The following is a 25,639-nucleotide window of genomic DNA, read 5'->3' on the forward strand; positions in this document are numbered from 1 at the left end:
CCCATTAGAGGTAAATCCATGTGAGCCCTGGTCCCTGCAAAGCAGTCCTCTGCCCAGACCATGGCATGCAGGTTGCTGGGCAGGCAGTGGAAGAGGATCAGATCCTCAGGGATCGGAAATCTACAGCCTCTATGGCAGGCTCAATTTTTTAATCACTCAAGCCATCTGGGGCCAAACTTTGGTGAATGAGGTGGCAGAGATATGGATGGAAAACATCACTTAAGGGCAGAAGCAAGATCGGATCTGCAGTGACATAGCTGCTTGCTTTGCATGAGCTGACGGAACATTTCTGTGTTAATGCCATGCATGGCAGATGGACCCTGAAGCAAGGTCAAATTTGGTGGTTTGGGGGCCTTCTGAGATTCCAAAGCACATTGGTTCTTCTGGTCTAATTCTGCCTAAATGGCCACACACAGTGTGTGGGGTGGATTCAGTAAGCCTTTAGCGCAGAAACTGGAGTGGGGCCACACACCTGTATCGTGGGGTCCTCCACACCTGGAGCCCCTGATGGCTGGGGACTGGTTCCTAGCATTGCCCACATCAGCGACCACGTTAGGGGCTTCTTCCACCTCACTGCCTGCCTGTCCCCCATGTGTGCTCTGGAGTCCCTGTGTGTGCCACCCACTGTGTGCTCTGGCGTCTCATTAAACTAAGTGTGGTCTCCTCGGTGAGCACAGATTTATGTGCAGGGGCCTACGTACCCAGAGAGAATGTGCCTCTATCCCCAAGCCTTAATCCCACATGGCTGGGGTGACTACTCTCCTGCATCTAAGCAGGAAGGCTGTTGATGAGTCCAAGTCTGTTCCAGAGGCTTCCTGCTTTCCAGCCTCCTCCCCACACCCACATCCACCTCTTCCTGCTCTGGAGCAGAGAGGGATGGACAGTGTGTGCCCAGCCCTGCTGAAGGTCCTCCCTCCCAACAGCAGTATGTGAGTGACAGAAAACCCAACACAAAGCCTACCTTGTCTGGATTTAAGAAGTCAAAAGGCTAGAGAGCGACATGGATATCCTGATAAGCACCTTATAAGAATAAGCTCTTGAAAAAGACTAGAAAGAAGTGCTCTAAAATAATAATAATGGGCAGGGCAAGGTGGCTCACATCTATAATCTCAGTGCTTTCAGAGGCTGAGGCAGGAGGATCACTCGAGCCCAGGAAGTCAAGGCTGAAGTGAGCTGCACTCCAGCCTGGGTAACAGAGTGAGACCCCATCTCAAGAAAAGAAAAAAGAAAAAGAAAAAAATAATAATGGTTGTGACAGGATGGTGGGAGTAAAAGGTTTTTATTTGTTTGTTTCTTTAATGTGGTAGAATACATAAGTGATAAATTTATTTTGATCTTAAAAAAAAAGCAAGTGCAATGTGACATACTAGATTTGTAGGTAATCTAGGAGAGTAATAACATTTGTCCTATCAAACGCAAAACTGACACAGACGTTACAGTTTGTGGATTATCTAGAGTATATCCAGTTTCACAAGGGTTATAAAAAAAAGCAAACCAACCTGCTTTTGGAAAAACTGAGCACAAGGCAGGGGTTGGGAGAAACCTATGCTGATCATAAAAATAGGATTTATATAATATCTTTTTTTTTTTGGAGAAAAAAAAACAGTCTCGCCCTGTTGCCTAGGCTGGAGTGCAGTGGCATGGTCTCAGCTCACTGCAACCTCCGCCTCCTAGGTTCAAGCGATTCTCCTGCCTCAGCCTTCCGAGTAGCTGGGATTACAGGCTCCCACCACCATGCCCAGCTAATTTTTGTATTTTTTAGTAGACACGAGGTTTCACCATGTTGGCCAGGTTAGTCTTGAACTCCTGACCTCAGGTGATCCATCCGCCTCGGCCTCCCAAAGTGCTGGGATTACAGGCGTGAGCCACCATGCCTGGCTGAATATCTCTCTTTTTTTTTTTTTGAGACAGGGTCTCACTGTGTTGCCCAGGCTGGAGTGCAATGGCATAATCTCAGCTCACTGCAGCCTTGACCTCCTACACCCAAACGATACTCCCACCTCAGCGTCCCAAGTAGCTGGCACTACAGGCACGCACCACCATGCCCAGCTGATTCTGTATTTCTATTTTTATAAAGACGAGGTCTCACCATTTGGTCTCGAACTCCTGGATTCAAGTGATCCTCCTGCCTTGGCCTCCCAAAGTGCTAGGATTATAGGCATGAGCCACTATAACCAGCCTGTAGAATATGTCATGTGACTTCAGTTTATAGCTTTATGTTCAATACATGTTACATAAAAATAGACATCAAAAGTACTAAGCTGTGGGAGCCAGACTCCAAGTGAGTCCCAAATCATTCCAGCCTCTTGATAGTCACACTTTTCTATAGTCTCTTTCCTCTGTGTATCAGGGTTGTTCTGTGTGACCAACAGAATACAACAGGAGCAATGGACTGTCACCTCTGAGGCCAGGTCATGAAATATGGCATGGCCCTGCCTCTGCCCCTTCTTGTGGATCACTCGCTCTGGGAGAGGCCAGCTACCATGTTGTGAGCAGGTCCAATGGTGAGGAACTGAGGCCTCCAGCCAAGAGCCACGTGAACAGGGCACCCTGGAAGTGAGTCTCCACCTTAGTCCAGCTGTCGGCAACCACAGCCCCGACCAACATCTTCACACAACCTCACAAACCACCTGAGCCCGAACCACCCAATGGAGCCACTCCCAGATGCCTGACTCTCAGAAACCATGCGAGATAATTAAGCTGCTAAATTTGGGGGTAATTTTTTGGAGGAATAGATAACTAATAAATAATATATAAAATAAACTGTAAATGATATGATTTTTAAAATTGTATTTTACAAGATCTGTATCTTAACATTGTTCTTTATGACATAAGAATTGCTAAGCTCCTTAAATTGAAAGAAAGTCATTGACAGAATCTTACGCCCTCAATTTGGAAAAAAAAGAAACTATTTAAAAACTGGTTTCATTTACAAATAAGACTTTGAAATTATTTTCAATGGTTCATCATATTGGTTACATATAGTCTACTGTTTCAACTATTACCAACTTTAAATCTACCCAAATTATGAAGTTCTATAATATGTAAGAGAGTTCTTTATGCTAAATCACATCCTTTGGAGAATGAGCAAAGTCACAAAGATCAGAAAAGGGCTTTTGGAAAGGGACAGCTCTCCTCCCCCTTAGCTATAAAATCCAAAACCCGCTCACCTGTTATGCAGCAGGTGTGACATACCTGTGACGAGCTCACGATCCTCCTCTTATCTTTGCACCAGTCCATGCACAGGACTTTGTTCCCGTGGCCTTTGAGGGTCCTTCTGGTCTTCATGACAAACTGCCCCAGGGCCTCCACCCGCTCCGCCACCTGGTGCACTGGAATGACAAGGCCATAGTCAGTCCCCTTGCTAAGGACCAGGTTCTGGGCTTTGGGCTGACACAGCACAGACATATGTTCCGCAGAGGGAGGCGGCCCCATGGGCTTCCTCCATAACAAGCCACAGCTTGATTCTCTGATTCCTTACCATTGCATCCTAGCAGCACTCCTTCTTTTAAGATCAGTAGAGGGTAGAGACAATACTGCCATTCTCTCTTTGTGTTTAAGACCCTACATTTTTCAAAGCAGTTTTATCTATGCATGTTGAGGGATTAACAACAAGACCACCTCATATTCATAAAGCACTACATAAAATTATTCCCTTTAAGGGCCACAGCTCTAAGAGGAGGGCAGGATGGGCAGGAGAGTGAGACCGCTATGCCCATTTAGCAGATGGGGAAACTGAGACTCAGAGAGGTTATCTGGTTAAGACAAGTTCATACAATCAACAGTGAACCAGGCTGGGGCTTCTAGTTCTCCTGCCTACCACTCTCTCATCACAACGAAAACTGACTTTACAAAACTGTTCCAACAGGACTATAAGGTACACCCTGCAGCTCTAGAGCTTGCCGTGTCTAGCTGACCCTGTGTGCCTAGCACTGGCCTGGACATGGCAGGTTCCTCATACACATGGCGCAGGAAAGAATGAACCAGCAAACTGCCAAGCAAGCTGTCTGCAAACTGCACACCTGTGAGTTTACTGAAAAACCTAGTGTCCACAGAAATCAATGCAATGTCCTAAAAGTCTGAATATATGATCCACTCACAGCACCACCTACACCAGAAAGGAGATCCAAAAGTCAATCTCTCAGGGCTGGGACCACAGCTTCTTTCCTGAGGCCAAGGGCAGGCTTTCTAGGGGCTTGCAGAGAAGCTGAGACTGATGAGTCTGAGAGGGACAAGTTTGTAGGAAGTGGCTGGAAAGCCACAAAGACCAGCTGGTCCAGGCCCTTCATCATGCAGGGGAGGACGCCAAGGTCTGCAGGGATCCCATGGCCACTCTCCACTTCCCTCTCTTGTTGGTAGCTATGTGAGAAGGAGAAGCCAGGGCTCTGAACTGTCCATCTACATCTCCTTCCTTGAAACCTCCCAGCTGGCCTTTCTCCAGGTAGGTGAGGAGGGAAGAGGGCATTTTCAGGGGGAAACAGCCTACGCAAACAGACAGAGGAACAGGGTGGGAAGAGGCAAGGCAGCTGCCCCTCATGTCTTCCCAGGGAGCTGCTGAGGCTTGACGGGGCCGTGGCCCATTTCCCTTCAAATGGAAGCCTGTGCCGAGAGGTGCCAACTCTGTGGTCTGAGTCCTATGACAGCAGCGTCCCTTCCTGGGAAATCCTTCCTCCCATCCTTCCCTCCCCAAAATGCTTCAGTGTGTATGTCCTAAAAACAATGAACTCTCTTAAATAACCAAAGTGTAATCATCAAAATTAGAAAATTAATGCTGAAACAACACTAATCTACAGACTTATTGAGATACTGCCTATTGTCCAAATAATAACCTTCATAGCAAAAGAAAATCCACGATCATAGATTGCATTCAGTTGCATGTTTAGCCTCCAGTTATATTTAGCCTCCAGTTATATTTAGCCTCCAGTTATGTGGCTGCTTCTTGTAATGTGGTTTAATGCTTCCTTGAGATTAGCTTGGGTAAAACACATTTGGCAGGGACACAGAGATGGGGTGCTGAGTTAATGTCACTGCATCCCACCTGGGCACATGAGTCCCACTGCTGGTGGGGTCACCGGGGATCATCTGGTTAAGGGGACACCTGCCAGGTCTCTCCACTGGAGAGTTACCATTTTATCTTTTGTAATGAAAAGTGTCTTGTTAGGGAGGTACTCTGAGGCTATGTAAACATGTTACCCCTCAAACCTCAACGGCCTTATTTTAATTCCACTAATGATTCTGGCCTGAATGAGTGATTGTGATGATGGCTGGCAAGTGGTGATCTTTCTCACTCCATCCTTCCCTCTGCATTCATTAGTCAGCTTTCTAAGGAGGAGTTCTGCCTCCTCTCCCAGTTATTTATTTATTCATTCATTTACATTAGTAGAGACTCATGGGTTCTTACTTTATTCAAGAGGTTGTAATCCATTACTAATACTATTGACTTTGATCTTCAAATTGTCCCAGGTGATGGGGAGCCCCGTCAAGCAGGTTCCCATGACCTTCTGACATGTCCCCCTCATAGTCTGAGCACTTCTCATTCCAAGCTTCCGTTGTTCCTTCCCTGTCCTTGCTCTAAAATCAGCTGTTTCTCCATGGAACTAAAAGTTCCTTTTAGTTGCCTCATTTCCTTGTGATAAAAGAGCAAAGTTGCACATGGGCTAAAAGTCTTTGTGAAAACTCAAACTGTAAAAATACTTGCTAAACTAGGCCAGGCACAGTGGCTCACGCCTGTAATCCCAGCACTTTGGGAGGCCAAGGTAGGTGGACTGCTTGAGCTCAGGAGTCTGAGATCAGCCTGGGCAACATGGTGAAACCGTCTCTACCAAAAATACAAAAACTTGGCTGGATGTGGTGGCACATATCTGTGGTCCCAGTTACTTGGGAGGCCGAGGTGGGAGAACTGCTTGAGCCCGGGGGCAAAGGTCGCAGTGGGCAGAGGTCGCAGTGAGCTGAGATTGCGCCACTGCACTCCAGCCTGGGTGACAGAGCTAGATCTTGTCTAAAAATACAAACAAACAAAACAAAAACCTTGCTAAACTCTAAAGTGCTACATGAATGTTCAATTATTATGCCATTGCTTCTGCTAAAACATTGCATTATTTACTGCCACAAACAGCATATTCGTCTTTTACAAATACGTTCTTTACAAAATACATCGAATGAAGTTTAAAAATAGATTGAATTTTCCAAATTCTTTTTTTTTTTTTTTTGAGACGGAGTCTCGCTCGGTCGCCCAGGCTGGAGTGCAGTGGCGGGATCTCGGCTCACTGCAAGCTCTGCCTCCCGGGTTCACGCCATTCTCCTGCCTCAGCCTCCCAAGTAGCTAGGACTACAGGCGCCCGCCACCACTCCTGGCTAATTTTTTGTATTTTTAGTAGAGATGGGGTTTCACCAAGTTAGACCAGGATGGTCTCAATCTTCTGACCTTGTGATCCGCCAGCCTCGGCCTCCCAAAGTGCTGGGATTACAGGCGTGAGCCACGGCACCCGGCCTGATTCTTATAGGCCTTTTTTTTTTTTTTGAGTCGGAGTCTCACTCTGTCACCCAGGCTGGAGTGCAGTGGTGCCATCTTGGCTCACTGCAACCTCTACCTCCCGGGTTCAAGTGATTCTCCTGCCTCAGCCTCCAGAGTAGTTGGGATTACAGGCATGTACAACCATGCCCAGCTAATTTTTGTATTTTTAGTAAAGACAGGTTTCACCATGTTGGCCAGGATGGTCTCGATCATCTGACCTCGTGATCAACCCACCTCCACCTCCCAAAGTGCTGGGATTACAGGAGTGAGCCACCGCGCCCAGCCATATAGGCCTTTTATATAAGGCTCTATCGGCCCAGAGTTGTGAGCATATTGTATTTAGTATTTTACTTAGAAATTTTACATCAATATTATTGCTGCTTCCCCCAATTCAGCATTAGGATAGCCATAGCTTTTTGATAATTTCCCTTTTAATAAAAAAGATGATTCACCCAACCAAAATAGGGCCCTCCTTACATAATGTGAATTTGAATAGATCCCAACTATTAATTATTTTTTCTCACTACATTTTTTCTTCCCACATGTAGATCACTGCCAACCCACTCCATCCTGTTTCTATCTGCCAAATTTTGCATCCACTGAATTAAAACAAATTTTAAAAATTAAACATTAGGAAGTTAAAAAAAAAAAGACCTGGAAATGAGCTGAATATGTGCTGGGTATTATTTGTGTGAACTTGGTTCAGGACACATGTAGTTTCCCCTTTGCCTTCTGGAGGACCATTCCTCCAGGATTTAATTTTTTTTTTTAATGGTGAATATAACCAGCTGGTTTCTATAATAAGAATTTGCTAGAATATAATGGTAACCTGTTAAGAAATTCCACTAGCTCTAGGAAGACAGGAGTGCTGTCTTGTTTGATCTTCTTCAGAGGCAAAACTGGAGCAAAGCAGTTAAAAATCCAGGCTCTGGATTTGGGGGCTTGGGTCAAAGCCTGGCTCTGTCGCACACCAGCTGCACAACCTCGAGCAAATCATGTACTTTCTCGCCACCTCTCTTCCCCTGTGGGGTTGCGGGGACAACTATTCAAGCCTGGCATAAAGGGAACACTTCATAAGGGTTGGCTATGACATTCTCCAGCATGGCGTACAGTGAGTACCCAGTAATATTTACTGAAGGAATAAATGAAATGCTTAGTATTGATTAAACTTCAATCAACGGTAGCAATCCTAAGCAGCAGTCTTTGGTGGGCGAACAAAACAATGCCTCTTTGCCTTCTTTTTCTGTACCTCTCCCTATCCCTAATCCATCATCCCTACTTCAGCTGTCAAGCAACTCACCAATTTAACAGGGCACGCTCACTAGCACTGGGAGTGGGAGGCACACACAGGGTTTCAGACCTACTTTCTGATCCAAGGAGCTCACCAACCTTTTTTTTTTTTTAAAGTTCCTTTTTTTTCTTTTCCCCCTCCTGGCCCTATCCTGTTCCCTGAGCAACTTGGATTTGGTCTTTACCACGCACAAACCCTTACGCCATTCAGATACAGCTCAAACTCTTTCCTAGTTCATTCCAGTTCAGTCTGTGCCAGCCTCTGGGACCATCCAGGTATATGAGAGTCAGTCCCTGACCTCACTGTAGTTCAGAGTCAAGGGAAGAGATGGAGCCATAATGATGATTTCCATACAACGTGGGACTTGCTAAGCTAGATGTGTGGACACAAGAAGCTTCTGTCCCAGAGGGTGGGGCACTGCACTGGGTCTTTTGGGGTGGTATCTGAGCTCAGTCGAAAGGATAAAAAGGTGAGTCAGATGAGAGGAGGTCCTAGGTGGGTACGCTAAGCTGAGGAAATGGCAAAAGCAAAGGCCCAACAATAATACTGATGTAAAATTTTTACATCAATATTTTTTAGGGGTGGAATAAACAACCTGATTGCAGAGTAAGGGGTAGGTGCAGGCAAGTAATGGCGCTGTACACCCATGACAGAGCTCATTTATCCCACCGTGACAGCAGCCTGCTGTCATCAGAAGAGTGGCATGGTCGGATCTGCCTTCTCATGACTATCTGTGGCTGCAGCGTTGGAGGACAGCGTCGATGGAGACAACACTGGAGGAGGGAAACCAGGGAAGAGACTCCTCTTCTTTGGCAGCCCCCTCTCCAGCGGACACACCATCTGCCGCACCACGCTTCTTTGTGGTCCCTCCAAGGTCAGACTGGAACAGCCTAGAAACTGCTCCCTGTCCCTGGATGTTCTCCTTCCCATGTCCAGGGAGAGGACGCTTGCCTCTGTGGCCTCCCTGCTCAGTTGGGTCCTCTGAAGCTTGAGATGCTGAATATTCTGGATGCCAGTCCAGACCAAGGAATCAGAATCAAAGTCATGGCTGGAACTCAAGAGGAAGTGTAGGCCAGTGAATGTTTGCTGCTTGAATGATGGTTCCAGAATCTCTACTATGTGCCAAGAGCTGTGCCAGATGCTTGGGTACAGAAAAGAGTAAGACAGTCTCTGCTCTTACTGAGCTCACAGTCTGGAGGGGGCAGACAGGTCAGCACCCAGGTAACAACTACAGTGCAGTGCGATGGTGGCTGACAGAGGCTGTCACCCAGGGTCAGGGAGCCAGAGGGGAACAGGGTTGACTCCGCTGGCAGGCGTGGTCATTAGAGGTGATGTCACTGAAGCCTGGTTTGAAGGATGCATAGGAGTTGGGGTGGAAAAGGGTAGGTGGGAAATTAGCTTCTTTTTTTTTTTTTTGAGATGGAGTCTCACTCTGTTGCCTAGGCTGGAGTGCAATGGTGTGATCTTGGCTCACTGTAACCTCTGCCTCCTGGGTTCAAGCGATTCTCCTGTCTCAGCCTCCTGAGTAGCTGGAATTCCAGGCCCATGCCACCACACCTGGCTAATTTTTGTATTTTTAGTAGAGATGGGGTTGCACCATGTTGGCCAGGCCGGTCTCGAACTCCTGACCTCAGGAGATCCACCCGCCTCTGCCTCCCAAAGTGTTGGGATTACAGGCATGAGCCACTGCGCCTGGCCAGGAAATTAGCTTCTTAATGTCTACTTTAGTCGCTGTTTTTTAGGAAAATGGCAGACAATGACCCAATCCATGGGAGTGTTGTGAGGTTCAACTGAGAAGGCAAATTAAAGTGCCTAACAGGCAGCTGGCAGGCCAGGAGTGGCAAATCTAGAGTTGGTGTACTAGGAGCTGCGAACTAGAAGACTGGAAACAACATGACCCGGAGAGCAACGGGGCTTTTGAAATGGAGGAGCCATGAAAACTAGAGATCATGTTTAGAATAGCAGAGAAGGGGTGAATGAAAAGAGGGGTTGTGAATGGAGAGATGGTTTTGTCTTGATTGCCTTTTATAGAATTATAGAAGTAAATGCATATTCATTAAAAATAATCATAAAATAAAAATATATGGTCACTTACAATTCTGCTTAGCCTGACCATTCTTATCATTTGGTGTGTACCCTTCCAGCCTTTCCTCCACATATGTGCACACACATATATATGTGTATAAGCAGACAACATGCCACATAAAATTTGGGGGACTACAGGCATGGGATTACAGGTGTGAGCTGCCACACCCAGCCTATCATTTTTAATGACTCCATAACATTCCACTGTATATACATACTATAATCTCTGAATCTCCTACTGGTGGACACTTACTTTGTCCCAGGGCTACCATGATACCCTTGTACTGTATTATCTCCTTAGATAAATTTCAATTCGTGGAATTACTGAGTCAAAGGGAAAGCATATTTTTTAAGGCTTTTGATGTATGTTACCAATATCCACCATTGATTGTGTGTCTCCTGGGTGACGGGCACTGGGCTGAGTGCTTTACACAACAGCCTGAGGACAAAGGCTTTATCTCCATTTCTACAGATGAGGAGCCTGGAGCTCAGAGAGGCTAAGGACCTCATGCACACATACTTGGATCCCTAAGAACATTTACATACCTTCAATAATGGGAGAATCTGTGGGCGGGTAGCTATCATTATTTAGAAAATCAAGGAGTAGGTGAGGCACTGACAATGGCTTCTTAGTCCAGGAGACATCCTAACTTTGGATCCTCCATGCCTCTTTCTTTTTTTGAGACAGAGTCTCGCTCTGTTGCCCAGGCTGGAGTGCAGTGGCGTGATCTTGGCTCACTGCAACCTCCACCTTCCAGGTTCAAGCAATTCTCATGCCTCAGCCTCTCAAGCAGCTGGGATTACAGGCACGCGCTACCACGCCCGGCTAATTTTCGTATTTTTTTTAGTAGAGATGGGGTTCCACCATGTTGCCCAGGTTGGTCTCGAAGTCCTGGCCTCAAGTGGTCCACCCACCTCAGCCTCCCAAAGGGCTGGGATTACAGGTGTGAGCCACCGTGCCCAGCCATACCTCTTCGAGGTAGCCAGATCAATGGGTCACAGAGCTAGAGAGCCTAGATCAGGAGTGAAGAAACCTGCCTGGGTCTTGGCTTGGCAGCCACTTGGCTGGAAGAATCATGGAAAGTTACAGCCAGAAGAGACCTGAATGACTCAACAAGCAAGGACTGAGCACCTTTCGCAGGCTGGCCCTGTGCTGCGTGCCAGACTGAACATGATGGACGGGTCCCAACTGGATGGCACTTAGAGTTGGATAACCATGTGGACCGGTAGTCTTCAAGCTCCCATTTTACCTGTAGAAGTCTCCCCCAACTGCCTCTGCTTTGGCTCATGGACAAAATCTTACCAGAAGTCCAATACGGAAAACAGATGAAGGCAGAGCTGAGCTGGTGAACAGTGGAGGGAGGGTGACGGCCAGACAGGAAGGCACGTCTACCCCTAAGTTCCAAATATCACATCTACCCCTGGAGTCCAAACAGCAAGCGTGAAGGCCAGTGAGCCACATCAAGCCCCCTTGCTTCTCAGAAAAGGAAAATGGGGCCTGAGGGAAGAGCACAGTTAACAAATTAAAGGTGAATGCATATCTCCTCGGAGCCTGCACCCTGCTCTGTAAAATGAGGGTATTAGAGAGTATCTCACAGGGCCTTGGAAATATAATTCTGGCAAAAACTTAACTTTTCATCACGATGTGGCTTACTCTCAACTTTCAGGGAATACTTTTGTTATTTATTTTATAATCTGTGCATACATGAACTGAAAGCAAAAGATATGGTGTGCAGCTCAATACACAAGAATTCAAACCATGTAAATTTATAAAGTGAAAATTCACAACAGGGTCCTTCTCATTACATCATCAGGCAATGAAAAAACAAGGAACCAAAGCATGAACAAGCTCTAAAATATCCGTGAAAATAAATACTCTGAAACCGACTGCAAAGAAGACAAGCGAAATGTCTTAAATAGCAAAACAAAACTATTTAAAAAATGATCTGGAATCACTTTCAAATTTGCACTAATATATACAGTCTTTTCATGGCCACCTTTTGGTAGATTAAAGGAATCAAGGAGAAAAAAAATTTAATGCTAATTAAAAAAACTCATGTAGTCTGATTCTGTGCCAAAGTAGAATGGGATAGGATGGATACAAAACCCTCAAACAGGCTGATCCGAGTGCAATGGTGTTTACTACTAATTGATTACAACCAGTTACAGATTTCTTTGTTTCTTCTCCACTCCCACTGCTTCACTTGACTAGCCTTAAAAAACAAAACAAACAAACAAAAAAACCCCACACAAGGCGGGCCAAGATGGCTGGTTAGAAGCAGCTGCAATCCGCAGCGCTCGTGGAGAACGGAATGGCGAGTGAATTCTACACCTTCAACTGAGGTATTCAGATTCTTGCACTGGGACTGAATAGCTAGTCGGGGCGACTCACAGAGAGCGAGGAAAAGCAGGGTGGGGAGATGGCCCACCCGGGGGGCAACACTGAGCCAGGGGAGCCCCGACCACCGGCCAAGGGAGGCGGTGAGTGATTGTGAGACCACGCCCGGGAAACCACGCTTTTCCCACAGATCTTTGCAACCTGTGGATCGGGAGATCACCTCGTGAGCCCAAGACGCCGAGGGCCTTGGGTCTAAAGCACAGAGCTCTGCAGACTCTCAGTGGCAGCGTGGCCACACACGGAGACCCAGGAGTTTTCGCAAACTCCGGCCCAAGAAAGTCCTGTGAGGAAGGAGATCCATCTATTCCCCTAGGAAGGTGGGGTGATGCCAGGGAGCTAAGCACCGTCGTTCAGCGGGCCCCACTCCCACAGCACCTCACAAGCTAAGACTCACTGTCTTGTAATTCCAGCCAGCCAGTGGTAGACGTTGGAGACGGCCTGAGACGACCGAGCTGGGTGGACGTGTAGGAGGGACAGACACTATCTCTGCAGCTCAAGTAGGCCATCCTGGCCTGCCAGCTCCTGGGAGTCAGGGTGGTCCAAACTGGGAGGAATTCCCCACAGCGCAGCACAGCTGCTGTGGCAGATCATGGCCAGACTGCTACTTTCAGTGGGACCTGGATGCTCTGGAGAGTCTGGGTGGTCTGGATGAGGGAGGTTTCCCCCAGCACAGCGTATCTGCTCCACCAGGGGGCAGCCAGACTGCTTCTTTAAGCGGGTCCCTGATCCCATTCCTCTTGACTGGGTGAGACCTCCCAACAGGGGTCTACAAATGCCTCCTCCAGGAGCGTTCCAGCTGGCATCAGGTTGGTGCCCCTCTGGGATGGAGTCTCCAGAGGAAGGAGCTGGATGCCATCTTTGCTGTTTTGCAGCCTTCACTGGTGATACCTCCAGGTGCAGGAGGGACCCAGGCAATAAGGGTCTGGAGTGGACCCCCAGCAAACCGCAGCAGCCCTGTGGAGGAGAGGCCTGACTGTTAAAAGAAAAACAGCCGGGCACGGTGGCTCACACCTATAATTCCAGCACTTTGGGAGGCCGAGGCAAGAGGATCACGAGGTCAGGAGTTCAAGACCAGCCTGACCAACATAGTGAGATACAAATATACAAAATACTAAAAATACAAAAATTAGCTGGGTGTGATGGCGGGCGCCTGTAATCCCAGCTACTCGGGGGGCTGAGGCAGGAGAATCGCTTGAACCTGGGAGGCAGAGGTTGCAGTGAGCCGAGATGGTGCCATTGCACTCCAGCCTGGGAGACAACAGCAAGACTCTGTCTTAAAAAAAAAAAAAAAAAAAAAAAAAAAATGCTGGGTGTGGTGGCTCAAGCCTGTAATCCCAGCACTTTGGGAGGCCGAGGCGGGCGGATCACGAAGTCAGGAGATCGAGACATTCTTGGCTAACACGGTGAAACCCCGTCTCTACTGAAAACATAAAAATAAAAAAAATTAGCTGTGCGTGGTGGCAGACACACCTGTAGTCCCAGTTACTCAGGAGACTGAGGCAGGAGAATGGCGTCAACCTGGGAGGCGGAGCTTGCAGTGAGCCGAGAGCACGACACTGCACTCCAGCCTGGGCGACAGAGCCAGACTCCATCTCAAAATAAATAAATAAATAAAAATAAAATAGAAAGAAAGCAACATCATCATCAAAAAGACTCCACAAAAACCCCATTCATAGGTCAGCAACCTCAAAGACTTAAGATAGATAAGCCCACCAAGATGAGAAAGAATCAACACAAAAACACTGAGAACTCAAAAGGCCAGAGTGCCTCTTCTCCACGTGATCACAGCATCTCTATAGCAAAGGCACAGAACTGGGTTGAGGCTGAGATAGAGGAAGTGACAGAAGTAGGCTTCAGAAGGTGGGTAATAATGAACTTCACTGAGCTAAAGGAGCATGTTCTAACCCAATGCAAAGAAGCTAAGAATCATGATAAAACATTACAGGAGCTGATAACCAAAATAGCCAGTTTAGAGAGGAACATAAATGACCTGATGGGGCTGAAAGATACAACATAAGAATGTCACGATGCAATCACAAGTAACAACAGCTGAACAGACCAAGCATAGGAAACAATCTCAGAGCTTGAAGACTATCTTTCTAAAATAAGGCAAGCAGACAAGAATAGAGAAAAAACAATGAAAAGGAATGAACAAAACCTCCAGTAAATATGGGATTATGTAAAAAGACTGAACCTACAACTGATTAGGGTACCTGAAAGATATGGGGAGAATGGAACAAGCTAAAAAACATACTTCAGGATATCATCCAGGAGAACTTCCCTAACCTAAGAAGACAGGGCAACGTTCAAATTCAGGAAATCCAGAGAACGCCAGTAAGATACTCCCTTTAAAGATCAACCCCAAGACACATAATCATCAGATTCTCCAAGACTGAAATGAAAGAAAAAATGTTAAGGGCAGCCAGAGAGAAAAGCAAAGGGAAGCCCGCCAGACTAACAGCAGACCTCTCAGTGGAAACCTTACAAGCCCGAAGAGAGTGGGGCCAATATTCAACATTCTTAAGGAAAAGAATTTCCAACCCAGAATTTTATATGCGGCCAAGCTAAGCTTCATAAGCAAAGAAGAAACAAGATCTTTTTCAGACAAGCAAATGCTGAGGAAATTTATCACCACCAGGCCTGCCCTGTAAAAGCTCCTGAAGGAAGCACCAAATATAGAAAGGAAAAACTGTTACCAGCTACTACCAAAAAAAAACTGAAGTACAAGTACGCTGTGAAGCACCTACACAAACAAGTCTGCAAAATAACTAGCTAGCATCATGATGACAGGATCAAATTCACACATAACAATATTAACCTTAAATGTAAATGGGCTAAATGCTCCAATTAAAAGACACAGAATGGCAAGCTGGATCGAGTCCAGACTCATTGGTATGCTATATTCAAGAGCCCCATCTCACATGCAAAGACACACATAGGCTAAAAATAAAGGGATGGAGGAAAATTTACCAAGCAAATGGAAAACAGAAAAAAGCAGGCGTTGCAATCCTAGTTTCCAACAAAACAGACTTTAAACCAACAAAGATAAAAAAAGACAGAGAAGGGCATTACATAATGGTAAAGTGTTCAATTCAACAAGAAGAGCTAACTATTCTAAATATATATGCACCCAATACAGGAGCACCCAGATTCATAAAGCAAGTTCTTACAGATCTACAAAGAGACTTACACTCCCACACAATAATAGTGGGAGACTTTAACACCCCACTGGCAACATTAGACAGATCATTGAGAGAGAAAATTAACAAGGATATTCAGAACCTGAACTCAGCTCTGGATGAAGTGGACCTGACAGATATCTACAGAATTCTCCATCCAAAAACAGAATATACATTCTTCTCATCACCACATGCCATTACTCTAAAATTGATCACATAATTGGAAGTAAAACTCTCCTTAGTAAATGCAAAAGAACTGAAATCATAACAGTCTCTCAGACCACAGCGAAATCAAATTAGAACTCAAGATTAAGAAACTCATTCAAAACCACACGACTACATGGAAATTGAACAACCTGTTCCTGAATGACTCCTAGGTAAATAATGAAATTATGGTAGAAATCAAGAAGTTCTTTGAAACTAATGAGAACTAAGAGACAACGTACCAGAATCTCTAGGACACAGCTAAAGCAGTGTTAAGAGGGAAATTTTAGCACTAAATGTCTATATTAGAAAGCTAGAAAGATCTCAAATCAACAACCTAACATCACAGCTAAAAGAATTAGAGAACCAAGAGCAAAAAACCCCAAAGCTAGCAGAAGACAAGAAATAACCAAGATCAGAGTGGAACTAAAGGAGATAGAGACATGAAAAACCCTTCAAAAAAATCAATGAATCCAGGAGCTGGTTTTTTGAAAAAATTAATAAAATAGATAGACCACTAGATAGATTAATAAAAGAGAGGAGAATCAAATAGACACAATCAGAAATGATAAAGGGGATATCACCACTGACCCCACAGAAATACAAACAACCATCAGAGAATACTACAAATACCTCTATGCACATAAACTAGAAAATCTAGAAGAAATAGATAAATTCCTAAATGCATACACCCTCCCAAGACTGAACCAGGAAGAAATGGAATCCCTGAATAGGCCAATAATGAGGTCTGAAATTAAGGCAGTAATAAATAGCCTACCAACAAAAAAAAGTCCAGGACCAGACAGATTTACAGCTGAATTTTACCAGAGGTACAAAGAGGGGCTGGTACCCTTTCTTCTGAAACTATTCTAAACAATTGAAAAGGAGGGACTCCTCCCTAACTCATTTTATCAGGTCAGCATCATCCTGATATCAAAACCTGGCAGAGACACAACAAAAAAAGAAAACTTTGGCCGAGTGCAGTGGCCCACGTCTGTAATCCCAGCACTTTGGGAGGCTGAGGCGGGTGGATCACCTGAGGTCAGGACTTTGAGACCAGCCTGGCCAACATGGTGAAACTCTGTCTCTACTAAAAATACAAAAAATTAGCCGGGCGTGGTGGCAGGCGCCTGTAATCTTAGCTACTCAGGAGGCTGAGGCAGGAGAATCGCCTGAACGCAGGAGGTAGAGGTTGCAGTGAGTCAAGATCATGCCATTGCACTCCAGACTGGGCAACAGGAGCAAGACTCCATTTCAAAAAAAAAAAGAAAAGAAAAAAGAAAACTTCAGGCCAATATCCCTGATGAACATTGGTGCAAAAATCATCAATAAATGATTCCCAATACTGGGAAACTGAATCCAGCATCACATCAAAAAACTTATCCAACACTATCAAGTTGGATTCATCCCCAGGATGCAACATTGGTTCAACATACACAAATCAGTAAATATAATTCATCATATAAAAAAAACTAAAGAAAAAAACCACATGATTACCTCGATAAGACAGAGAAAAGGCCTTCAATAAAATTCAACATCCCTTCATGTTAAAAACTCGCAATAAACAAGGTATTGAAGGAACATATCTCAAAATAGTAAGAGCCATATATGACAAACCTACACCGAATATCATACTGAATGGGCAAAAGCTGGAAGCATTCCCCTTGACTGGCACAAGACAAAGATGCCCTCTCTCTCCACTCCTATTCAATATAGTACTGGAAGTTCTGGCCAGGGCAATCAGGCAAGAGAAAGAAACAAACGGTATTCAAATAGGAAGAGAGAAGTCAAATTATCTTTGTTTGCAGATGACAAGATCCTATATCTAGAAAACCCCATCGTCTAAGCCCAAAAGTTTCCTAAGCTGATAAGCAACTTCAGCAAAGTCTCAGGATCCAAAATCAATGTGCAAAAATCACTAGAGAGCCAAATCATGAGTGAACTCCCATTCATAATTGCTACAAAGAGAATCAAATACCTGGGAATACAGCTAACAAGGTAAGTGAAGGATCTCTTCAAGAACTACAAACCACTGCTCAAGGAGATCAGAGAGGGCACAAACAAATGGAAAAACATTCCATGCTTATGGATAGGAAGAATCAATACAGTGAAAATGGCCATATTGCCCAAAGTAATTTATAGATTCAATGCGATTCCCATTAAACTACCATTGACATTCTTCATAGAATAGGAAAAAAAACTATTTTAAAATTCACATGGGACCAAAAGAGAGCCCATATAGCCAAGATAATCCTCAGCAAAAGGAACAAAGCTGGAGGCATCAGGCTACCCAACTTCAAAATATACTACAAGGCTACAGTAACCAAAACAGCTGGGTACTGGTACAAAAACAGACACACAGACCAATGGAACCGAATGGAGAGCTCAGAAATAAGATTGCACACCTACAATCATCTGATCTTTGATGAACCTGACAAAAACAAGCAATGGGGAAAGGATTCCCTATTTAATAAATAGTGTTAGGAGAACTGGCTAGCCATATGCAGAAGACTGAAACTGGACCCCTTCCTTACACCTTATACAAAAATTAATGCAAGATGGATTAAAGACTTAAATGTAAAACCCCAAACTATAAAAACCCTAGAAGAAAATCTAGGCAATACCAGGCCGGATGTGGGGGCTCACGCCTGTAATCCCAGCATTTTGGGAGGCCAGTGTGGACGAATCACTTGAGGTTAGGAGTTTGAGACCAGCCTGGCCAACATGGTGAAACCCCGTCTCTACTAAAAATACAAAAATTAGGTGTGGTGGCGTATGCTTGTAGTCCCAGCTACTTGGGAGGCTGAGGCACTTGAATCACTTGAACCTAGGAGGCGGAGGCTGCAGTGAGCCGAGATCGCACCACTGCACTCCAGCCTGGGTGACTGAGGCAGGCAGATCACCTGAAGTCAGGAGTTTGAAACCAGCCTGGCCAACATGGTGAAACCCCGTCTCTACTAAAAATACAAAAAATTAGCTGGGCATGGTGGTGGGCACCTGTAATCCCAGCTATTCAGAAGGCTGAGGCAGGAGAAGAGCCTGAACCCAGGAGGCGGAGGTTGCAGTGAGCAGAGATCACGCCATTGCACTCCAGCCTGGGTGACAAGAGCGAGACTCTGTCTCAAAAAAAAAAAAAAAAAAAAAAAAAGAAAAGAAGAGAAGAGAAAAAGAAAAAAAGAAAAGAAAGAAAAGAAAAGAGGTAAAGAGGAAAACCTAGGCAATACCATTCAGGACATAGTCATGGGCCAAAGATTTCATGACAAAAATGCCGAAAGTAATTGCAACACAAGCAAAAATTGATAAATGGGATCTAATTAAAACAAAGGGCCTCTGCATAGCAAAATAAACTACATCAGAGTGAAGGGACAAACTACAGAAGGGAGAAAATGTTTGTGATCTATCCATCTGATAAAAGTCTGATATCCAGAATCTACAAGAACTTAAACAAATTTACAAGAAAAAAAACCCCATTAAAAAGTGGGCAAAGGACATGAACAGACACTTCTCAAAAGAAGACACTCATGCAGACAACAAACATGAAAAAAAGCTCAATATCACTGATCATTAGAGAAATGCATATCAAAACCACAATGAGATACCATCTCATGTCAGTCAGAAAGGTGATTATTAAAAAGTCAAGAAGTAACAGATGCTGGTGAGGTTGCGGAGAAAAAGGAATGCTTCTACACTGTTGGTGGGAATGTAAATTAAATTAGTTCAACCCTGTGGAAGACAGTGTGGCAATTCCTCAAAGATCTAGAAGCAGAAATGCCATTTGACCCAGCAATCCCATTACTGGGTATATATCCAAAGGAATATAAACCAATCTATTAAAAGATACATGCACGAATGTTCATTGCAGCACTATTTACAATATCAAAGATGTGAAATGAACCCAAATGGTCATCAATGATAGACTGGATAAAGAAAATGTGGTACATACATACCATGGAATACTATGCAGCCATAAAAAGGAATGAAATAATGTCCTTTGCAGGGACATGGAAGCCATTATCCTCAGCAAACTAAGGCAGAAACAGAAAACCAAACACCACATGTTCTCCTTTATAAGTAGGAGCTGAACGATGAGAACAAATGGACACATCGGGGGAACAACACACACTGGGGCCTGTCAGGGGCATAGCAGGAGGGACAGCATCAGGAAGAATAGCTAATGGATGCTGGGCTTAATACTTAGGTGATGGGTTGATCTGTGCAGCAAACCACATGACACATGTTTACCTATGTAACAAAACTGCACATCCTGCACATGTACCCTGGAACTTAAAAGCTGAAGAAAAAAAAAAAAACCCTCTCAAACCCCTGTATGGAAGGAAAACATTAATAGTCACATTTATCTCACTTGTATTTGTCAGAGATTTGTGAATTGCCTTAAAAAAATTCATGAGGCTGGGCGTGGTGGCTCATGCCTGTAATCCCAGCACTTTGAGAGGCTGAGGCAGGCAGATCACCTGAGGTCAGGAGTTTGAGACCAGCCTGGACAACATGGCTAAACTATAAAAAAAAAATTAGCCAGGCATGGTGGTGTGCGACTATAATCCCAGCTACTTGGGAGGCTGAGGCAAGAGAAGCACTTCAATCTGGGAGGTGGAGGTTGCAGTGAGCCATGATCACGCTACTGGACTCCAGGTGAGCAATAAAGTGAGACTCTATCTCCAAAAAAAAAAAAAAAAAAAAAAATTCATGAGCCACAAAAAATTCTACCCTGAATTCCCTAATTAAAAGTTTGGAGAATTAAGTTATGGGACCATCTTTAAGATTGAATACTGTAAGGTTCCATATAAGAATTTTTAATGATGACATTAAAAGAAATGTAAATGACATGGGGAGCTACTCAATCCATTGTGCTGAATGTTAAAACTGGGCTCAAATCCTCTATCTAGTACAGTCCCTAGTAAGCTTATAAATATATACACAAACATGGAAACATAAGCTATGAAATACATGAAAATATTAAAAATGGCTACCTCTAGGTATTGAGATTATGAATGACTTGTTTTCTTCTATATTTCTAGATTTTTCCACAGTGAGCATTTGTTTATTGGGAAAGTACTCTAAACACCCTTGCATTAGCCAGCTCGAGTATAACAGTGAATGCAGAGAAAGGAAGGGGAAAGGAAATGAAGGCAGGTTAGCTTTCTGCTGCCTCTGATGGCTGCAGGAGGCATGTGGCCAAACAGCAGGGAAGAGGATGACTGTAGAGAAACCGACTTCTGTAAGCGTCGGTACACAGATCACATTTTCTTAGAATATGAAAAAAGTCAAGGAATATGTTTGCTCCAGGCTAATCTAGAAAGTTGGTTTTCCTAGATTTTTCCCTAAGCCATAAATCAGAATAGTCCAAGACTCTAAGCCATAAAGCATTCAATAATAAAACTTTTCAAAAAATTACATTTAGAATAGATAGAAAAGTTAATGGTATCAGATAATACATCCTTCTATCAAATTTAGTCTAGATTTGTACTCAGAGAAACGACATAAACTTGCTTTGTTCCTTAACAATATTAGCATCTGCCTCAAGGACCTGGGAATTGGAGTAAAGCTCCCACACAGCCCCAGGAGGCTGCTGTGCCTGTTGGCTGAAATGAACACCATGTCCTTCCTGGTCTGTCTGGTTTGAGCCTGTCTTGCAGATTATTCCTCAGTTTAATTTCAAGTTAAAGACTCTTTAGAGTTGAATTGTTTTCCCCTTTCTCTTTTTATTTTTTATTTTTTGAGACAGGATCTTATTCTGTCACACAGGCTTGAGTGCAGTGGTGCAATCATAGCTCTTTGCAGTCTCAACCTCCTGGGCTCAAGTGATCCTCCCACCTCAGCCTCCCGAGTAGCTGGGACCACAGGTACACACCATCATGCCTGGCTAATTTTTATTTTTTTATTTTTATTTTTTTGAGAGTTGAGGTCTCACTATATTGCCCAGGCTGGTCTTCAACTCCTGGGCTCAAGTGATCTTTCCGTTTTAGCCTTCCAAAGTGAGCCACCATGCCCGGCCTCCTTTTATTCTTGATCTTGACTCCCATTCTAGTACTCATTTTTCCCTTATTATAAAAAGCAGTAAATGTGCTGGGTGCGGTGGCTCATGCCTGTAATCCCAGCACTTTGGGAGGCAGAGGTAGGTGGATCGCTTGAGCCCAGGAGATCAAGACCAGCCTGGGCGACATGGAGAAACCTCGTCTCTACAAAAAAATGCAAAAATTAGCCAGGTGTGGTGGCACACACCTGTAGTCCCAGCTACTTGAGAGGCTGAGGTAGCCAGGAGTTTGAGGCGGCAGTGAACCATGATCGGGCCACTGTACTCCAGCCTGTGTGACAGAGTGAGAACCTGGCTCAAAAACAGTAAATGTATAGATGGGTATAAAATGAAAAGCACCTTCACTTTCCATACCCCTCTCTAGCGATAACAAGTTCCTTGCGTATCCTTCCAGACATTTACTGCATATACAAGCACCTCTTGTTTGTTAAGATCATGTTATATATACTGTTTGGCACTTTGCTTTTTATTTTCTTTTACTGAATAAAAAAAATCGGCACCTTTTCATACGTGGATTTACTTTTCTTTCTTTTCAATGCCAATCTTTTTTTTTCATTTGATAAATATTTACTTAGCCTAGCTCACTGTTGTAGGAGGGTGATCCACAGTAAATGATACAAATAAAGTACCTGCTGCCAAGGTACTTACATTCTAGTAAGGGAGACATAAAATCAACCAATCATCAATCAGTCAACAAAGAATAAATGAATGAAAGTAATTTTAGAGAGTGATGAAGTGAACAATGAAAGGGAGCTGAAATTGTAGGAAGTTGGGACAGACATGGCCATTTTAGATTAAGGAGTCTCCATGCTGCCCAGGCTGGTCTTGATCTCCTGGGCTCAAGTGATCCACCTGCCTCTGCCTCCCAAAGTGCTGGGATTACAGGCATGAGCCACCGTGCCCAGCACATTTACTGCTTTTTATAATAAGGGAAGGTGCCTCTGAGGAGGTGGAATATGAACCGAGACAGAATATATGAAGTAAACTAGGCAAAGAAGTGGGAGAACATTCCAGAAGAGAGAATACAACATGTCTGAAGGCTGAAGGCAAGAACAAGCTTGATGGTCTGAAGCTCACCAAGATGGCCAGTGTGACTGGCGATAGTGAGCAAAGCATAGACTGATCCAAGGTGAAGTGGAAGAGGTAGACGGAACTAGGTCAGTTAGGGAGACTGTTGGCAAATCTCAACTTTCTAAGAGAAGGTCTAGCATGGTGAGGAGGACAGCTGTCCTGGGAGCTTGAATCTTCTCTACTCCCTATTCAACATTAGAGTAGCTACAAAATCTTAGGGAAATCCCTTCACCCCTCCCTGGATCTCAGCTGCTTTTTCATCTATAAGGGACAGGGCTGTTAGGAAGAGAAGGAAATGTTTTGTGCTGGAAGACTGAAGCTGAAGCAGGGGAACCCTCCTGATCTAAAAGCTGTGTGATAGGCTAAATAATGGCCCCCAAAGGTATCCACATCCTAATCCCCAGAACCAGTGGCGATACTATCTTACGGCAAAAGGGACTTTCTAGATGTGATTAAGTTAAGGATCTTGAGATGGGGAGATTATCCTGGATTATCCAGGTGGGCCCAACATAATCACATGGATCCTAATAAGAGGGAGCAGGTGGGTTAGAGTCAGAGAGAGAGGTGACCACAGAAGCAGTGCTCAGAATCACGTGAGCCTTGGGCCAAGAACATGGGCAGCCCCAAGAAGCTGGAAAAAGCAAGAAATGGATTCTCCCCTAAAGCTTCCAGAAGGACCTGCCCACCCATTTTAGTCACCGATTATAGACCTCCAGCACTATAAGAAAACAAATGTATGTTATTGCAAGCCACTAAGTTTGTGGAAATTTGTACAGTAGCAATCAGAAATGAATGCACACTGTAACCATATGATTCTAAAATGCCTTGGAATCAAGCGAGGTAGTACTCGCCTGTGGTAGAAGATAAGCAGAAAGTGACAAGGAGAAAGCTCTGGGGAGAAGCAGGAAGCTCTGTGGGAGGAAGGGGAAAATGGGGCTTGGGGCTGTGGAGTTTGATGTGAGCTGGCTTCCCATCAGAGGACCCATATAAGCTATTAATACTTCCTATATTTAATGTTGGCCAAGGGTCTGGCTTGGGGATGAGGGCCAAAGGGATGGAGGTGAAGAACTCAGTGTCTGAAGAGAGGAAACCATTTTTTCCTCAAAGTTTATGCTATACAATTTTAATATGTTGCCTTAAGCTACCTTAAGGCAAGAATTTGGGCAAGTCCAAGCCAATAGGAGGTAACAACTATCCTGGTTTGCCTAGGGCCGCAGGGTCTCCTGGGGTGCAGGACTTTCCATTTTAAAACCTAGGGTCTGGCTAGGCACGGTGGCACACGCCTGTAATCCCAGAACTTTGGGAGGCTGAGGCGGGTGGATCACCTAAAGTCAGGAGTTCGAGACCAGCTTGGCCAACATAGCAAAACCCCATCTCTCCTAAAAATACAAAAATTAGCTGGGCGAGATGGTGTGTGCCTGCTACTAGTGGGGCCGAGGGAGGAGAATTGCTTGAACCTGGAATGCGGAGGTTGCAGCGAGCCGAGATCGTGCCACCGCACTCCAGCCTGGGTAACAGAGCAAGACTCTGTCTCAAAAACAAACAAACAAACAAACACACATACCTAGGGTCCCAGGCAAACTGGGATGAGTTGATTACCTTAGCTGATAGCCTAAAGGGGTCTCCCTGACTAGGGCAGAGGCTACTGGGCCACCTATATAGCAACACTAAAATGCAAAAATGTACAGGCATCTAACACATGTTGCTCTGGGGAATAAACCATACCCCTCTGGTGTCAGCCGCATACCCTAATTTGGTACTATAAAACTCATGTGTCTGGCCACACATTCCCAATTCACAGGAAACCATCCTTGGATTCCAAAATGGGAAATATCTGCAGAGGTCATCACGAAGCAGGGGCTGGGAATCTCAGCTGGGCAAGAAACAAGGCCTGTGTGTGTCAGAAACAAATCTGTCAGGCCAGGCACATTAGCTCACGCCTGTAATCCCAGCACTTTGGGAGGCTGAGGCGGGCAGATCACCTGAGGTCAGGAGTTCAAGAACAGCCCGTCCAACATGGTGAAACCCGGTCTCCACTAAAAATACAAAAATTAGCCAGGCATGGTGGCACATGCCTGTAGTCTCAGCTACTTGGGAGGCTGAGGCAGGAGAATCGCTTGAACCTGGGTGGTGGAACTTACAGTGAGCTGAGATTGTGCCACTGGACTCTAGCCTGGGCGACAGAGTGAGACTCCGTCTCAAAAAACAAACAAACAAACAAACAAAAAACGGCCAGGCGCAGTGGGTCACACCTGTAATCCCAGCACTTTGGGAGGCCAAGGTGGACGGATCACAAGGTCAGGAGTTCGAGACCAGCCTGGTTAACACAGTGAAACTCTGTCTCTACTAAAAATACAAAAATTAGCCAGGTGTGATGGCATGTGCCTGTAATCCCAGCTACTCAGGAGGCTGAGGCAGGAGAACTGCTTGAACCCAGGAGGTGGAGGTTGTAGCGAGCTGAGATCATGCCATTGCACTCCAGCCTGGGCAACAGAGCCAGACTCCATCTCAAAAAAAAACAAAACAAAACAAACAAACAAACAAAAACATCTGTTAACTAAGGGGCTGCCAGTCACCATAAGAGATACAGGAAAGTGCATGCTGCCAGCCCCTGCTCTGGGGAGTGAACAGATTCAGTTTATGGTCCTCCCCAGCCTCACCAGACCCTTCCCACCTTCCCCCAGGCTCTCAGCCACTTGCTCAATGGGGAGCCCTGCAAAGAAAGCTGCATCATTCCTAAACTGAATCCTGGCCCAATCACTAACCAGCTGCATGACCCTGAAGGAATTATTCGACTTTGCTAAGCCTGCTCGCTCATCGCACAGATGGGGATGATACCACTTTC

General features: G+C 44.9%; 1 protein-coding gene across 4 annotated transcripts in view; it reads right to left on the reverse strand.

Moving 5' to 3' along the window:
• GNB5 (G protein subunit beta 5) overlaps window positions 1-25,639 on the reverse strand; it is a 76,293-nt gene that overhangs the window by 35,645 nt on the left and 15,009 nt on the right. For 3 of the 4 annotated variants that reach the window (NM_016194.4, NM_006578.4, NM_001379343.1), the window contains one exon: window positions 3,196-3,332. In NM_016194.4, coding sequence (NP_057278.2) covers window positions 3,196-3,332 — 137 coding nt within the window. Of the gene's footprint in view, window positions 1-3,195; window positions 3,333-12,682; window positions 13,238-25,639 lie in introns of those variants that run through there. The other variant, XM_011521162.4, reaches the window with a different exon arrangement.

The sequence above is a fragment of the Homo sapiens genome, chromosome 15, assembly GCF_000001405.40.
Source record: "Homo sapiens chromosome 15, GRCh38.p14 Primary Assembly".
In the NCBI taxonomy this organism is placed as follows: Eukaryota; Metazoa; Chordata; class Mammalia; order Primates; family Hominidae; genus Homo; species Homo sapiens.